The 18,412-nt window shown below is 37.2% G+C and overlaps 1 long non-coding RNA gene across 1 annotated transcript in view; it reads right to left on the reverse strand.

The window, feature by feature from the left end:
* Positions 1-370: 370 nt before the first annotated feature.
* LOC124901737 (uncharacterized) overlaps positions 371-18,412 on the reverse strand; it is a 60,247-nt gene continuing 42,205 nt past the window's right edge. Inside the window, exon 2 of the long non-coding RNA XR_007060496.1 lies at positions 371-616. This is a non-coding gene — a long non-coding RNA (uncharacterized LOC124901737). The remainder of the gene's footprint in view (positions 617-18,412) is intronic.

Genomic DNA, 18,412 nt, shown 5'->3' on the forward strand with positions numbered 1-18,412 from the left:
TGGGTGGGAAGCATCTTAGTGGAATCCCAGTCTCTTCTCATCATATTTCTTATTATACATTTCAGTATTATTTGATTAAAAGCATTTTCCTCAGACATGCTGGCACTATATGACTAACTTATGTGTTCTTTTCCTCAGAAATAGATTAATTGTTACTTAGCTCTTTGCCTAGGACAGTGAATACCTTCTCAAGTGAATTTGTATGGGGACAGCAAGAAAACCTTGGGTTACCCTAGATGGTGACTAAGCAGGTTTTGGCAGAGAAGAAAAGTCTTAAGAGAGGCTGAGTTTTAAATACCCATCTAAGACCAAGGCCAATACTGCTAAGCCATAAGACAGTTTAGCATTTCATCTATGCATGACACACTTATTGGCATTAAAAGGCTATATTAAAGGATATACATAATATGAAACTTAACGAGCTCAGTTCAACTTCTGCCACATATTTGGTCTGCACTTTTTGCTGAGTTTAGTTTTTGAAGCATCTTGGAAGCCAGAGTAGTTATTAGATCAGTGAGGATGTGAGCGAGGAATCAGTCTTCTATTCTTACAGATGTACACTCTGCAGATTTATAGATATCTTTGTCCTTAGGAACATTTACCCACTTATGGGCCTCTGAAAATAAAAAATAAACATAGTTATGTGCTTTATAATGACATTTTCATCAGTGACAGACTACATATACAATGGTGGTTCCATAGGATTATAGAACCATATTTTTACTTACCTTTTCTAATGTTTAGATCTGTTTGGATATGCAAACAGCATTGTATTACAACTGCCTACCATATTGAGTACAGCAACATGCTATACAGGTTTGTAGCCTGGGAGCAATAGCCTGTACCATATAGGGTAGATGTGTAGTAGGCTATACCATCTAGGTTTGTGTAAGTACACTCTATGATGTTTGTACAACCACAAAAGTCACCTAACAACACATTTCTCGGAATGTATTCCCATCGTTAAGTGCTGTATGACTAAATAGTTTTATTTCCTCTTAAAAGTAAGGTAGCTTCATGGTTCATTTATAAATACTTGTCTGCTGACTTTATTGTTGCTTTCTTCCTCTGAGCTCTGCTTTCTTGCACTTCTGCTTTTGTCTTTGTAGTAATCTTAAATTTTCATCATTCCTCCCTCTTTTCAGTTGTAGCTAGAGACCTTGCTTCTAACTGTACTGAGAAAATAGGAGCTCTTAGAAAAGTACTTCTTGTCCCTCTAACATCAAATAGCATAGACTAAACTAACTGCATTCACACCCGGGCTGTCCCTTCCTTTACAGTAGATGAACTGTCCATGCTGTAATATAAGGCCAAGCCCTATGTAGGCACCAGAACTCATTACTACTTGGCTGTGGAAGGGTTTTGCTTCTGAAAATATTATCTCTTTCTCGTGACTCATCCATTGTCCTTCCTCGGTTGAATTTTCCTCATTTTCTATTATATACTTGCTTTAATGTCACTCATTCAAATAACAGCAATTACAGCAAACCTTCTTAATTCCAACATCTCAGCCACTGTTTCATTTCTCCCCTTTATTTTACAGCAAAATTCCAAAAAGGAGTTCTCTATACTCAATAACCCTACCTTCCCACCTCTTATTCTTTCCTATGCATATCTGTATATGATTTATTTGCATGAAAGCATATTATGAAAATTGATGAAATATACATAAAGTCTTTAGGTATATATTTTTATTTGGAAATAATTTCAAACTTATGGAAGAGTTGCAATAGTATTAAAAGCTCACATGTCTTCAATCATTGACATTTTATCATATTTACTGTCTCTCCATGATGCTATTATATTTCATTTATTTTAAACTTTTATAGGTACATAGTATGTGTATATATTTATGGGGTACATGAGGTATTTTGATTCAGGCATACAGTCCTTAATAATCACATCAGGGTAAATGGAGCATCCATCATCTCTTAAGAATTTATCATATTTTTGCATTACAAACATTCCAATTATACTCTTACAGTTATTTTAAAATGCACAGGAAATTATTGTTGACTGTAGTCACCCTGTAATGTTATCACATACTAGATCTTATTCATTCTATCTAACTATATTTTTGTACCCACAAATCATCTTCACTCCCTCACCTGCTGTTACCCTTCCTAGCCTCTGGTAACCACCATGCTACTATCTCCATGAGTTCAAATGTTTTAAATTTTAGCTCCCCAAAATGAGTGAGAACATAAGTTTGTCATTCTGTGTCCGGCTTATTTCACTCAACATAATATTCCTGTTTCGTCCATGTTAGTGCAAATTAAAGGATCTCATTCTTTTTTGTGGCTGAATAGTACTCCATTATGTATATGTACCATATCTTTATTTGTCTGTCGATGGACACTTAGGTTACTTACAAATCTTGGCTATTGTGAATAGTACCGCAATAAACATGGAAGTGCAGATATCTCTTTTATACACTGATTTCCTTTCTTTTGAGTATATACCTAGCAGTGGGATTGTTGGGTCATATGGAAGTTCTGTTTTTAGATTTTTTGAAGAACCTCCATACTGTTCTTTATAGTGATTGTACTAATGTCCATCCCCACCAACAGTGTATGAGAGTTCCCTTTTCTCCACAACCTTGCCAACATTTGTTATTGCCTGTCTTTTGTATAAAAGCCATTTTAAGTGGGATGAGATGATTATCTCGTTGTAGTTTTGAATTGCATCTCTCTGATGATCAATGATGTTGAGCATCTTTTCTTACACCTGATTGCCTTTTGTATGTCTTCTTTGAGGAAAGTCTTTCCAGAACTTTTGCTAATTTAAAAAATCAGATTGTTTGATTTTTGATCAAATTGTTAGATGTTTTCCTATTGGGTGTCTGAGTTACTTATACATTCTGTTTATTAATCCCTTGTCAGATGAAGAGTTTGAAAATATTTTCTCCCATGCTGTAGGTCATCTCTTCACTTTGTTGATTGTTTCCTTTGCTGTGCAGAGGCTTTTAAACTTGTTATAATTACATCTGTCCATTTTTGCTTTATTTGTCTGTGCTTGTAGAGTAGTGACCAAGAAATCATTGCCCAGACCAATGTCCTGGAGAGTTTCTTCAATATTTTCTTTTAGTAGTTTTCATAGTTTTGAGTTCTTAAATTTAAGTGTTTAATCCATTTTAGATTTGATTTTTTGTATATGGTGCGAGATAGAGGTCTAGTTTCATTCTTCTGCATACAGATATCCAGTTTTCCCAGGACCATTTATTGAAGGCACCTTTGTCAAAAATGAGCTAACTGTAGATATATGGTCTTATTTCTGGGTGGTCTATTCTGTTCCATTGGTTTCTGCGTCTATTTTTATGCCAGCACAATGCTGTTTTGGTTACTATCACTCATTGGTATCAGTCGAAGTCAGGTAAAATAATTTTTCCAGTTTTGTTCTTTTTGCTCAGGATGGCTTTGGCTATTCTGGGTCATTCATGGTTCCATATAAATTACAGGATTATTTTTTCAATCTCTGTGAAGAATGTCATTGGGTCTATTTCTCTCTTTAGCTCTAGGAATATTTGCTTTATATATGTGAATGCTCCAGTGTTGGATGCATATATATTTACAATTGTTGTATTCCCTTGTTAAATCTACCCCTTTATCAATATGAAATAACCTTCTTTGTTTCTATGTTTTTTTTCAGTTTCAATTTGCATGGACTATCTTTTTTCATCACTTTATTTTCAGCCTATGTGTGTCTTTATATGTGAAGCATGTTTCTTATAGGGAGAAGATAGTTGGGACTTGCTATTTTATCCATTCAGCTTGATTTTTTTATCCACTTTATGTCTTTTGATTGGAAAGTTTAGTCCATTTACATTCAATGTTATTGGTGATGAGAATTTACTCTTGCCATTTTAAAATTGGTTTTCTGACTTCTCTTCTTTCTTTCCTTCCTGTTTTCCTTTTTGTGAAGGTGATTTTCTCCAGTGGTATGTTTTAATTTCTTGCCTTTTTTTGAGTCTGTTGTAAGTTTTTTGATTTCAGGTTACCACGAGGCTTGCAAATAACATGTTGTAACCCATTATTTAAAACTGATGACAACTTAACACTGATTACAAACAAAACCCAAAACAACTGAACAACTAACACACAGGCAAAGAGAAAACTAATATAAACTCTACAGTTGAACTTCGTTCCCCCAACCAACTTTTAAACTTTTTATTATTTCTATTTATATCTTATTATACTGTCTACATCTTTAGAAGTTGTTGTAGCTATTATTTTTTATTGGTTCATTTTTAGTCTTCCTACTCAAGATATGAGTTTACACACCACAGTTACAGTATTATAATATTCTGTACTTTTCTGTGTACTTGCTGTTTTGTGCCTTTAGATGATTTCTTATTTCTCCTTGCTATCTTTTTCTTTCAGATTGAAAAACCCCTTTAGCATTTCTTATAGGGCAGTCTAGTGTTGATGAAATCCTTCAGCTTTTGTTTTTCTGGGAAAGTCTCTATTTCTCCTTGATGTTTGAAGAATATTTTCACTGGATATACTATTCTAGTATAAGAATTTTTATTTTTTCCTTCAGCACTTTAAGTGTATCATGCCACTCTCTGCTGGCTTACAAGGTTTCTACTGAGAAGTCTGCTGCCAGACATATCAGATCTCCTTTGTATATTATTTATTTATTTTTTTTCTCCTACTGCTTTTAGGATTCTTTCTTTATCCTTGACCTTTGGAAGTTTGTTAAATGTCTTGAGATAGTCTTATTTGAGTTACATCTGCTTGGTGTTCTATAACATTCTTGTAGTTGAATATTGATATCTCTACGTTTGGAAAGTTCTCTGTTATTATCCCTCTGAATACACTTTCTATCCCAATCTTGCTCTTTACCTCCTCCTTAAGGATTTGTCCTTAGATTTGTCCTTTTGAGGCTATTTTCTAGATCTTTATAGGTGTGCTTCATTCTTTTTTATTCTTTTTTCTTTTATCTTCTCTGACTGTGTATTTTCAAAGAGCCTGTCTTCAAGCTCACTCATTCTTTCTTCTGCTTAATTATTCTGCTGTTCAGAGATGTGACACATTCTTCAGTATGCCAACTGAATTTTTCAACTCTTGAATTTCTCGTGATTTTTTTAAAATTATTTCAATCTTTCTGTTAAATATATTCAATAGGATTTTTAATTCCTTCTCTGTGTTTTCTTGAATTAATCGAGTGCCATCGAAAGAGCTATTTTGATTTCCCTGTCTGAAAGGTCAAATATCTCTGTCATTCTGGGGTTGGGCACTGGTGCCTTATTTGGTTCGTTTGGTGAAGTCGTGCTTTCTTGGATGGTCTTGATGCTTGTGGATGTTCATTGAAGACTGAGCATTGAAGAGTTAGGTACTTATTGTAATCTTCACAGTCTGGGCTTGTTTGTAACCTGTCCTTCTTGAGAAGACTTTCCAATTATTCAAAGGGAATTGAGTGCTGTGATATAAGTGTTTGGTCACTGCAGCTGTATCTGTATTAGGAGGCACCCAAAGCCCAGTAACACTGTGACTCTTGCAGACTGGTAAAGTTACTGCCTTAGTGGTCTTGGGTAAGTCCTGGGAGAATCCCTGGATTACCAGGCACAGTCTGTTGTTCTCTTCCCTTCCTTTACCCCAAACAAACAGAGTCTCTTTCTTCATGCTGAGCTTCCTGGAGTTGGGGGAGGGGTGGCACAAACACCCCTGTGGCTACCACCACTGGGACTGCTATGGGTCAGACCTTAAGCCAGCACAGTACTGTGCCTCTCCCAAAGACTGTGATGACCATTACCTGGCTACCTCTGATACGTTTTCAAGGCCCAAGGCCCAAGTCAGCAGGTAGTGAATCCTATCAGACTTGTACCTTTCCCTTCAGGTTGGTGGGTTTCCTTCTGGCCCAGGAATGCTGTCTGGGAGCTGAGGCCAAGAGTCAGGAACTTTAGGGATCAACTTGGTGCTTTATTGAACTGTGGCTGAACTGGTACTCAAGTTGCAAGATAAAATCTTTCATATTCTTCCCTCTCTTTTTCTCAAGCAGGAGTCTCTCCCCATGGCCATCAGTGCCCTAGGCCCATGGTGAATACTGCCTGGCTACCGTTGATGCTTATTCAATGCCCAAGGGCCCTTTAGTCAGCTTGTGGTGAATCCTACAGGCCTGAGTCTCTGTCTTCAGGGAAGTGGGTTCCTTTCTGGCCCAGAGTGGGTCTAGAAATGCATCCAGGAGCTAAGGCCTGGATTGGGGACTTCAGGAGTCTGTTTGGTGCTTTATTTTATTTGCGACACCAAAGTGGCAAGACGAAGTCCTTTTTAACCTTCCCCCTCCTTTCCTAAAGCAGAAGGAGTCTCTCCCTGTGGCCACCACAGCTGAGAATGTACTGGATCATACCTGAAGCCAGCAGGGTGCTGGGTGTCACTCAAGGCCTGTGGTGAATTGCCTAGCTACTGCTGATGTTTATTCAAGGTGGAAAGGCTCTTTTCTCAGCAGGTAATAAATCCTGCCAGTACTAGGTTCTTTCCTTAAAGGCAGTGGGTTCACTTCTGGCCCAGGATATGTCGAGAAATGTCACCTGGGAGCTAGTGCATTCCCTTGTCTGCCCCTAGCTGGTGTGTCTCTAGGTTGCATTCACCTCAAGTTGACTGGCTCCTATCCCAGCACAGCACTAGGACTTGCCCAGAAATTGTGGTTCTTGTGGCCTAGACTGCCTTCCAAATTTATTTAGGACCCCAGAGTACTTTAGCCTGCAGTGATGGGGCTAGCCAGAACTCAGGTTTTGGCCACTGGGGTGGACAACTCCCCTCTGGCTATGGCTGGTCTAAATGCCACATTTGTGGGTGTGGGCAGAATTCTGCCTGTATTGCTTTCCACTGTTACGGGGCAGCACTGAGTTCCAACGCAAAGTCCCACAGTCACAGCATTCTCCCTCTCCCAAGCACATAGATTCTTTCTCCACACCATGCAGCCACTGCTGGGGTATAGGGAAGGGGTGGTGTTGGCAATTCAAGACTGTTTATCCTATGCTCTTCAGTGCTTCTTTCCTTGATAAGATATTAAAACCAGGTACAGTGATTGCTCACCTGATATTTGGTTCTTATAGAGGTGCTTTCTTGTGTGGATAGTTGCTCAACTTGGTGTTCCTTTTGGGGAGAGGGTGATCGTTAGAGGATTCTATTTGGCTATCTTGCTCTGCCTTCTCAATAATGCTATTTTAATGTTAAATACTTCAGTGTCCTATTAACAAGAATATTTTCTTGCCTAATCACAGTATAATGATCAAAATCAGTATAATTATCAAAAACAATTAACATTGATATAATACTATTATTTAATCTAAAACTTTGTGTAATTTCATCAATCGTCATAATAATATTCTTTATTGCAAAACAACAATAACAACAAAAGCCACATTTTTTTCTGGCTCAGGATTCAATCTAGGATCCTGGTATACATATAACTGGGCAAAACAAGTCATTTTTTGTTCTTTTAGGGTCTCAGTGGTTTGGATAATCCCTGACCACATTGGTGAGGGCAGATCTTCTTGACTCAGTCCACTAAGTCAAGTGCTAATCACTTTCAGAAACACCCTCATGGACACACCCAGGAATAATGTTTTACCAGCTATCTGGGCATCTCTTAGTCCAGTCAAGTTGACATGTAAAATTAACCAACATACAATCCTGGTTTCCTTCTTTCATATAGCACCTAGTTCTTTGTAGCACCACTTAAATGGGGTGCTCAGAAATGAAACAACTAATTAGGTAAATTATGGTGAAAATACACTTTCTGAAATCTTCACACTCTTTTCTGTTAATATAGCTTATGGTTTTCCTGACTTTTTAGTAATGAAAGTTTATTGAAATGAAAAAATAGGGCCAAGGAGGTAAAAGAAAGCGAAGATGAAGTTAGAAAGAGCTGCTAGAAACACTAAGGTTTGTGTAATTGTAAAATAGGGAATTGCACTTAATCCCTACAAAAGAAGAATAGCAACCATGCTTGGCATCCATTGTAGTACACAAAGATATTGCCTTCTCCTTGCAGAGTACTTCCTTTACCTTGAAACCACATGGAAAAGTCTCTTCTACAAATTCAGATATTAAAATTCCCAAAATGAATGAATCCTTATGTTTTAGAGACAGATATTAAAATATTTGTAGATAAAATAATGCTTGAATTTGCTTCAAAATAATCCAGTGGGGGAAAGTATGAAGTGAGTGGGGCATATATGAAACAAGATTGCTGTGGGTTGATGATCCTTATAGCTGGGTGTTAGATACATGTGGGTTCTTTGTATAGTTATTTCTACTTTTGTGTATTTTTGAAGTTTATCCAAATAAAAGCGTAGGTTTTTCTTTAAGTCCCTAGACCTAGGATAAGTGGATAGAAACTGCTAAAATTGTTTCTTGGGTACTCTCATTCTAATGAATTTTGCCTGCATTTGGTTTCTGCTTTATACGTATTTATACTCACAGCCAATAAGACTCAAATCATAGTTCATTCTGTTTTCATTTTCACGAAGATGGACAGCTATCTTTCACAAAGCTGATGAATATTACACAAAGATTTTTTTGTTTTTGCTTTTCCTTTTACTTCTTTTTAATATTATAAAACCCTGGATATTATTGTTTTCTGTATAGCCTTCCCATTCAAATGTATAGGTAGAATATGTAGGGAATTTTCACCAATTATTGCGAACAATTTCCACATTTTAAAAGAGGGCCGACTCTTCCATTTCAATATGCCACAGATGCCAGCCCAAAACTAACTTGGCAATAATCCAGGCTGTTTCATAATAATGTCCTGTGACACTCTAAAGTTTACAGACCAGAAACTCAAGGTTCATTAGTGATCCAAGAAGGGGAATGTTTTTTTCTCCTTTAATGTGCTTACCATGTTAAATGAATGAAAATAAGATGTGTAAAGTATTTAAAAGCATTTTACACAGAAGAGAAAAGCACTCAGACTTATTATGAGGTATTGAGATTATACCTAAATCCTAAAATTCTACTGTAGAAAACTTGAATTATGAATGAAATTTTCATTTGGAAAAATGTATGGTTTTTATTTTTTCAAAAACCATATAGCATAAAATGGAATTATTTGGTGGCTTTTCCCTAATTTCTTGATCAATGTATAGCAAGAAATACTTTTAAGCAGAAATGCATAATGAGGACACACACATAATAACTGAAAGAAATGAAAACATAAGCCTCCTACACAGGAAAGTGTGGCAAAGTGCAGCTATCCAACGCATTAGGTAAATTATGTCTATCTGTCTGCCTAAGGGTTAGACAGTCCCTTCTGTCCCCTTAGTGTGGATATAACAAAAGATCCAGCCAGTCACGGTGGCTCACGCCTGTAATCCCAGCACTTTCGGAGGCCGAGGTGGGCAGATTAGTTGAGGTCAGGAGTTCGAGACCAGCCTGGCCAACATGGCAAAACCCTGTCTCTATTAAAAATAAACAAATTAGCCAGGCATGGTGGTGCACACTTGCAGTCCTGTTGTATCTACTCTGGACGGTGAGGCCGGAGAATCGCTTGAGCCTAGGAGGCGGTGGTTGCACTGAACCGAGATTGCCCCACTGCACTCCAGTTTGGGACAATAGAGTGAGACTCTATCTCAAAAACAAAAACAAAGACAAACAAACAAACAAAAAGATCCTCTTTTTTGTGCCCCACTCTGGGATCCCTTCACCAGTTTGTGTTCCTTCTTGCTTCAGAGCTCTTATAGAAAAGTTGTAGATAAATGCCTTTAATCAAAATTATTTTTTTCTGTAGTTATTAAAATTTTGAACATTTTCCCATCTCTTTCACTATCTGTTTCTGTGCCCATCACTGTCTCCCCCCAAGTCTTAAGTAATTTGGTATGTATTTTTCCATAAGTTTCTTTATGCTTACATAATCATATACAAATGCATATGCAATCTTTCAATGACTGAATAATATTTCATGCTATGGATATAATCATGTTTTAAATCATTACCTTAATGATGTACATTTTCTTTGTTTTTAAACTTTTAATATCATAAATAGTACTATAATCAATATTTTCCTATAATAGTGGATTTCTCACCATCTGTGTTTAATTTCAGTTTTTGATTTATATATTTGAAAGTTATGCTTTAGGAACGTAATGTCATACTTTTATAACTTTTTGTGCTTTTTCTTTTATTATTATATGATTGCTGACATCTGTTGCAGTATTCCAAAGTCTTCTGTCATTCTAATTATTGTTTCTTTTTAAGTGATCTATTTTTCTCTCTAGTTGATTTTAAGATTTTTCTTTTAAGCTCGATGCTCTGCAGTTATATTAGAAAATGTCCGGGAGTAGATCTGTTTTTATTTGCACATCTTTGACAATCAGAGAGTACATTCAACCTGACTCTTGCTTTTCCTCAGTTTAAGAATATTCTTAGTTATGTCTTCACACGTTGCTTCCCTGCTCCTTCTTTTTCTTCTGTAACACCTATTGGTAACATTTTGCAGCCTCATAATTTCTAATCCATTTCTTTTATGTTTTTTAAATCTCTGTCTCTGTGTTCTATGAGTGAATGCTTCAATGCAGTCCTCTAGTTCACTAGTATCTCTCCATCCTGGAATCTTTCCCAGTTCTTAAGATTTCCATTTCCATAAGTCTATTGTTTTCATTTTCAAGATTTCTAACTTATTTTTATAGCTATTCAGTTCTCATTTCATTTATGCCTATTTTTTGTTATATGACTTCTTACATTACATATATTGCCTACATAAAACATTTTAAATTAGTATATGAGAAATAAAGGATAAACTTTTACCTCTAACTCTGATATGTGGATGCAACACTGTATAAGAATGCCTCCCATGTACCTGGAGCCCACCTTCTAGCCTGTCCAACTCTTTAGAACACAGCCCTGAAATCCTCAGAAATCTGAATTTCCTTAGCAGTATGACACTTTTTATTCTTGGTTTTTCTACCAGAGTCATGGTTTAGTTCACTTTTCAAATATAAAATTTTCATCGGGGTTAAAAATTGGAATATATCACATCAATTAAGCATTTTCAATTCAGTTAATAAAACTACAGTATTTCTTAAAATACTGTATGTTTTATGCTCATATACTAGAAAAGTTTGCTAGTATCCAGTTTATTCAAACGCAACATCACTAATGTTCAATTCTGTCTTATTGCAACATCACCTCATTTTTTAACCATTAAGATTTAATAATGGCACATGACATTTTTACTCATTAAACACAAATATCCCTTACTTTATTAGACTCAGATTAGGGCCCAAGTCCAAATAATAAGATTATTCTGCATCCCAAGAAGTGTAAGAGATTTTGAATCTAACCTTGACAATGTTCAGGCAATGAGGGCACAATTAAACAATAAGAATAGTGGAGTGATTTTGCTTTCTCAATGTTGAGAGGCTGTAGCTTAAGAAACCCACGTTAACTCAGGAGTTCCTGTGTATTATCTCACCATGCAGACGAAAAGACATTCAAGTCACTGTTTGTTTCCTCTTTTGTTTTGATTCCAAGAGTTTGTATTACCCTTTCTCATGAGAGTGATGAGAAACAACACAGTTTGGGGAATCTAGTCATTTTATCTCAAAAGCTTTTCATTTTCTAGTCATTTTATCTCAAAAGCTTTCCAATGTCTTTGAAAGACATTAATTGAATTCTGAAGAGCAAAATAACTAGAACGGGATATTTCAGTGTTTGATCATTGCTCGAGTTACTAAACACTGGAAAAACTCAATTTCCTACTGTTTGCAGTGGTTATTGAAAGCTACAGCTTTCTTATACCTTTCCACAATCATTCTTGTGATTCAAAGGTTATATATAAAAAAGAATAAAAGTAGATGACAGAAGTTCATTTCTAACTTTTGGAGCTCATGGAGAAAGCCACTTTGAAAACCTAAAACTTAAATAAGCTTGTTAGAAAATGACACTCAACATAATGGAAGATTTTGTATGTAGTCAATCTCAAAGTAGTATTCAATGATCCTTGTACAGATTACTCAACTTTCAATTACTGAGAGTTTACACAAAATTATACAAGCAACATAAAAGTACCTGTTTAAAAAATAATTTAGATCACGCAGATAATTTGATTAATAATTCGATCTGCTGATTAGATGCCTCAAATCTCTCAATTTCCTAGAAATTTTGTGTTTTAAAAAAGGTAGAGAAATTAGAAGGGCTCCATACCATGACTAGTTACTGATTTAGTGTCCTATTTTTTACAATTAGTTCCTAAATTCACAGACTTCACTCTTGATTTTCAAAAAAGGCATTAATGAATGTCAATAGTAAGTATGTTAATAACAAAATTAATATAGTTATAGTGCCTTTCATCTAGAAAAATGATTTATGTACAAAATGATATTGCACTGAAAAGGAGCAGCCTTCCTTTTCTTTAGTGGAAAGATTTCTGTTATTGATACTGTATGTTTACAACTAGGCTTCCTAAAGTTACTGATATAATGAGCCATGATTTTAATAATTATTAGGTGAATATAAGTGGTAATTAGATACAGAAAAATTTATGAAGGTGGTACATGAATGACTAAGGTTTGAGAAACTCTGGTTTAAGGTATTTTTAAATAACAAAAGATGATTTCCATGGAGGAAGGAGAGACAAAAATAAGGCTTCAGTTGGCAATTAAAAGAGAATAAGGTTGTCATTTGCCACAACAGGTATGAACTTGGAGGACATTATTCTAAGTGAAATAAACCAGGCAACAGAAAGACAAATATTGCATTATTTCACTTATACATGTAATCTAAACAAGTTAAACTCATAAAAGCAGAAATGGTGACTATATTTAATAATACTCTATTGTATACTTTAAATTTACAAAAGGGTGGCTCTTAAGTGTTCTTATCTCACACACACAAAATGATTAACTAAGTATGTGAAGTAATGAATATGTTAATTATCTTTATTTCAGTAATCATTTCACTATAAATATATCAAAGCTTCAAGTTTACACAAAACTCACTTTTCAAGCTACTGGATGATGGCAAAACTAAGTCCCAAATTCATTTGGAACACAGAGCAAGAAGCCTAGTTCACCTAGGGTCAAGACAGTTACGGCCTCAGCTTTCAATAAGAGTAACAGGACAGAAAAGAATGTTTGGACCAAGGGTAAAGTGTCCCAGAACCAGAGGCATGGACACCCCCAAATAGGTCAATGGAAGGTTGAAAGGGTTGGCTGGACACCAAAAAGGAGCTTCTAGGAATCATCAAGGAAAAAAAATTGCCTTTCCCCGGGATCTATAGACGATGTCAGGACTCAAGAGGAGGGCTTACCAGAGGTAGGGGCTGCAGATGGCAGTCATCCCACCTCCACACCACATGCACGGCCCCACCACTATTATCGTGTAGAATTGCTGGCATATGGTGATAATATAAAGCAGACCAATTTTTAGTTGCTTTTACTAATTTCTGTTTTGTAAATTCTCTATATACTGTGGTTCCCCTGGGTGGAAGGCTGTCACCACCACATTTGGTTACGCTCCTGCAGAATATTTAGCGTGACTGTGGAACAGCAGGATAAGCGATCTCTAGGACTGGAGACATTTGGCCTCACATCTAGAAAGTCAATTAAAAAGGAAAGATTTCTTTGGAAGCCATCTCTATGGAGGTGTAATCTGAGTAATTTGTGCTTTCATTCAATACAGATAAACTAGAATGCCTTGTTTTCAGTAGGAGGACCAGAGGGATTCCTAGACAATAGCTGGTTGCAAGTATGAGGAAGAAAGAGCCAGAGAAATAAATAAGTAAGCACAATGAAAAAGGCAGATGGCCAAATTCAAAGAAGAAATAGAAGGAAATAATGGAGCATTGGTTCAGTCTTTTATATTGTTCCCTGGATTTCGATTTGACATGCATCTTTCTATGCTTGATTTTGGAAAACAGTAGCAGAGGCTGCAGCATGCTATTTTATAGGCTTAAAGTCAGGGACGCAGTGATGGTTGGAATATCTCCAAGTCTTCCCCTTCCCCCAGTTCTGTGCAGGGCTGGGTGATGTGAAATAGGGATAGGGCCTGCCTTTAAAATGAATCTTGGGCCTTGCGTGATGGCTCACGCCTGTAATCCCAGCACTTTGGGAGGCCGAGGCGGGTGGATCACCTGAGCTCAGGAGTTCGAGACCAGCCTGACCAACATAGTGAAACCCCCTCTCTACTAAAAATACAAAAATTAGTTGGGCGTGGTGGGGGCACCTATAATCCCAGCTACAGGGCAGGCTGAGGCAGGAGAATCACTTGAACCCGGGAGACGGAGGTTGCAGTGAGCCGAGATTGTGCCATTGCACTCCAGCCTGGGCAACAAGAGCAAAACTCCATCTCAAAAAAAAAAAAAAAAATTGAATTTTATTTTCCATGTTAGTCCAGGTGAGTCTGTTAGAAATTATACTGAAGGAATTTTGTTCAGAAAACCCAAATGAGGTAAATACAGAAGGCCTAGTAGCCCATCTGAGAGCTCTTACCTCAGTATTTGAAAACTTCTTTGAGGGGAACAGCCATGTCTTCCCTCAGAGATATCCTTCGGTGTCATGAGAGCATCATGGTGCTGACTACAGCATGGAGCTGAGCAGGTGAGGCAAAGTCCATGGTACTACATCACATTTTTAATGATATAAAACAGTGTTCTAGGTAAAACTCTAAAAACCAAAGCTAATAAGCTATTCTATTCTCTATTCGTTATTTTATGTAAAGGATAATGCATGGCAATTATGTTTTTGCTTCCTTTAATTCCCTTTGCCTTACAAATAAATCATTTGTGTTGTGGTGGAGGTAGGGGAGATGGTTTAAATTGGTGAAGAATCAAGGGAGAAGTGAATAATAACTATTGCAACTTTTTCATTTATAGAAATTTTCAGTGTTCCCATTGATTAACAACTTAAGTGGCTATCCAAGCATCCTATATATATTTCTACCTTCGTAAACATTCACTTCTTTTAGAGATAACATTTATTTTCCTTTGTTGGCAGTTGTCTGAAGTATTCATTTACTTTCCCGGCAATCATTTGCTGTTTTCTCTGAAGCTTTGCTAACTGAAAAAGTGAAATGATCTTCAAATTACAACTTGCATCAACGTCATGGGGCATTGGAAAGTAAAAACACACAAAAATCTTTTGTTGTCCTTTCTTGAGAGACAGTAATCCTAAACTCAAGTGATGTTTTTCTCTTTTACTCCATAGCCAGGAGACGCTTAAGCACTTTACAGGCAGCCTTCTCATTCTCTTAATCCCATAATATTCCTTGGATTCTTAGCTGCTTTGACTTTTAATTCTTTTAATCTAGTGTTAGGGCTTTTGATACCTATTCCTGTCTTCCACACGAATAGGTGCCAGGACAGCCAGGGAAATAGAAAACTGGCAAACCTTTCCTTTCATATCATTAGGCCTGGGTGGGAGGAAGGCAGCCACATAATTTCCCTCTTCTTGGAAGGATATAATTACAAATGTAAACCATCCTTCAATTAGAGTAAGGCTGCACTGAAATAATACCAGTGTCTCTAGTTAATTCAGGGAAACTATCCACCAAGCCCCATATGCCTGACACTTGGAGACTCCATTTTTCAATTCTCATTTGCTGTAGAAACCCCTTATGTAAATTATTATTAAAAGCTGCTGAAACTGTGGGATTTAAAGACGTCATGATCTTCCATTTGAGAATAATAAGCAAAAGGTCCAGGAAGCAAATTGAAAATCCTCCTGAGACATTCCAGCACACTGGGCTCTACTACTACAAATATACTCCCTTTGGAGGTAGTAAGTCTCCTATTTCAGGAATTACCCAAGCACAATTTTGGATATTGAAAACATCAGGTAAGACCTGGGTTATTATATGAGTTTCAAGGGCTGCTGTAACAAACTACCCAAATCGGGTGGCTTAAAACAACAAAAATTTATTCTCCCAGTTCTGGAGGCCGGAAGTCTGCAACCAAGGTGTCAGCAGGCCTGTGCTTCCTCTGATATCTGGGTGGAATCCTTCCTTGTTTCTTCCTAGCTTCTGATGGTTAAATCCATGGTGTTCCATGACTTGCAGCTGGATCACTCCAATCTCTGCCTCTGTCATCACATGGCGTTCTCCCTGTGTGTCTGTGTCTGTGTCTCTTCTTTTCTTATAAGGACGCCAGTCAGATTAGATTAGGGCTCACTCTAATGCAGTATGACCTCATCTTAACTTGATTACCTATACAAAGACTCTATTTCCAATTACGGCTACATTCACAGGTACTGAGGCTTAGGACTTCAACATATCCTTTTGGGGACACAAATCAACCCATAACAGTTATATTACAGCTAATATCCCTGTGGATACTAAGATTTCGTAATTCTCACATTTGGGTAAAATGGTTTCATGTACTTTAAATGGATGCTTGAGTATGATATTCCTAGTCTTATTATTAGGAGGAGGTATGGTAGAAGGTTTTAAAGAATGAGGGCAATGAGGGTTATGTTCTCAGATCTTAGACTAAAGATAAATCTCTTAAAATTACCAAGTGTTTAGCTTACAACAGTGAAGCTTACTCTTTGAAAGTACTTTCTATGTCATAGAAAGTGAATTAGCGCCTGTAATTCCAGCACTTTGGGAGGCCGGGGCGGGTGGATCACCTGAGGTCAGGAGGTCGAGACCAGCCTGGCCATCATGGTGAAACCGTGTCTCTACTCAAAATATAAAAAATTAGCTGGCTATGGTGGTGGGCACCTGTAATCCCAGCTACTTGGGAGGCTGAGGGAGGAGAATCACTTGAACCTGGGAGGCAGAAGTTTCAGTGAGCCGAGATCACACCATTACACTCCAGCCTGGGTGACAAGAGCAAGACCCCATCTCAAAAAAAAAAAAAAAAAAAAAAAGGAAATTAGACTTCTGCCAAAAGGGCCTGTAACACAAAATAATTTTTCATTCAACAAACATGAATTGGGCGCATACTCTGTGTCAGGCACTGCACTGGATGCTAGGGATGCAAAGACAAATAAAAAATGTTTTTCACTTGATCTAGTGGGAGAAAAAGGCTTGCAAGCAAGAAAGTTACTACACAATGGGAGATATGCCAAAATAAAATGTTATGCAAAGGGATATGAGACCACAGTAAAGAAAGGGGTGTCTTGGAGGTAATATTTGATGTGAGATATGTACAATTTTATGTGGCAGACAATGCAGAGTGTGTCAGGCACAGAGAACAGCCAATGCTGGGCATGGACATATTAAAGGTCAGGTAATATGACCACAACAGAGACGAATGGAAGAAACAACCTGATGTAAAGTTGACAAATGACAGTCAAATCATAAAGGCCTTATATGTCTGTCTAAGGCATATGGAATCAATTTCATGGGTCATGGAAAGCCTTTAAAATACTCAAAACCAAGGAAAGCCATAAGCCTACTCTACCATCTATCATTCTGCTCTAATCTACCGTCCTATATTTGGGTGGTAGAAATGAAAAGACTTGGGACAGGGGTGGTGGCTCACACCTGTAATCCCAGCACTTTGGGAGGCCAAGGGGGGTGGATCACGAGGTCAGGAGATCAAGACCAGCCTGGCCAACTAAACCACCCTGTCTCTACTAAAAATACAAAAACTAGGCGGGTGTGGTGGCTTGCACCTATAGTCCCAGCTACTTGGGAGGCTGAGGCAGGAGAATTACTTGAACCTGGGAGGTGGAGGTTGCAGTGAGCCAAGATCGCGCCATTGCACTCCAGCCTGGGAAACAGAGTGAGACTCCACCCCCCCCCCCAAAAAAAAAAAAGAAAAGGCTTAGTTGCAATTTGGAAATGGAGAGAAAGTGGAGGGAAGGGACAATAACACCTAGCATTCTAGATTTATACCCTAATCATCACAAAGGGATAAGAAATCAAAAAGGACTTGAATTTTCACTAGGGCAAGAAAATGAGTTTATTTAAGGAGAATAGGTGGGAAAAGGAGAATAAGAGGTCAAGGGGAGATCAAATATAAACTCCAGCTCAGGTGAAAAACAATAAAGAAAGGAATTAGAAACATGTATCAAATGAGAGCTAAGTAATAGTATAATCACTATCAAAGAATTCTAGTTATTTATTAGTAAAGTTTCAAATTCTGTGCCTTTCTGTGTCATTCACAGGAAAAGTATGTTGTACACACCACTTCAAAAGTATACCAACTGAATTTCAGTCATTATTTTTCACTGTTTAGGTTCAGCCCATGATGGCGTGTATGCACAGTCATGTGTCATTTAATGTAGGGAGCTATTCTAAGACATGCATCATTAAACAATTTTGTTGTTGTGTGAACATCATAGAGTTTACTTACACAAACTTAGGTGGGATAGCCTACTACAAACCTAGGCTATTTGGTATAGTCTATTGCTCCTAAGCTAAAAAACTGTACAGTATGTTACTGTACTGAATTCTATAGGCAATTGTAACGCAATGGTAAATATTTGTGTATCTACACATACCTAAATGTTGAAAAAGTACAG

This window comes from Homo sapiens, chromosome 7 (assembly GCF_000001405.40).
Source record: "Homo sapiens chromosome 7, GRCh38.p14 Primary Assembly".
Lineage (NCBI taxonomy): Eukaryota > Metazoa > Chordata > Mammalia > Primates > Hominidae > Homo > Homo sapiens.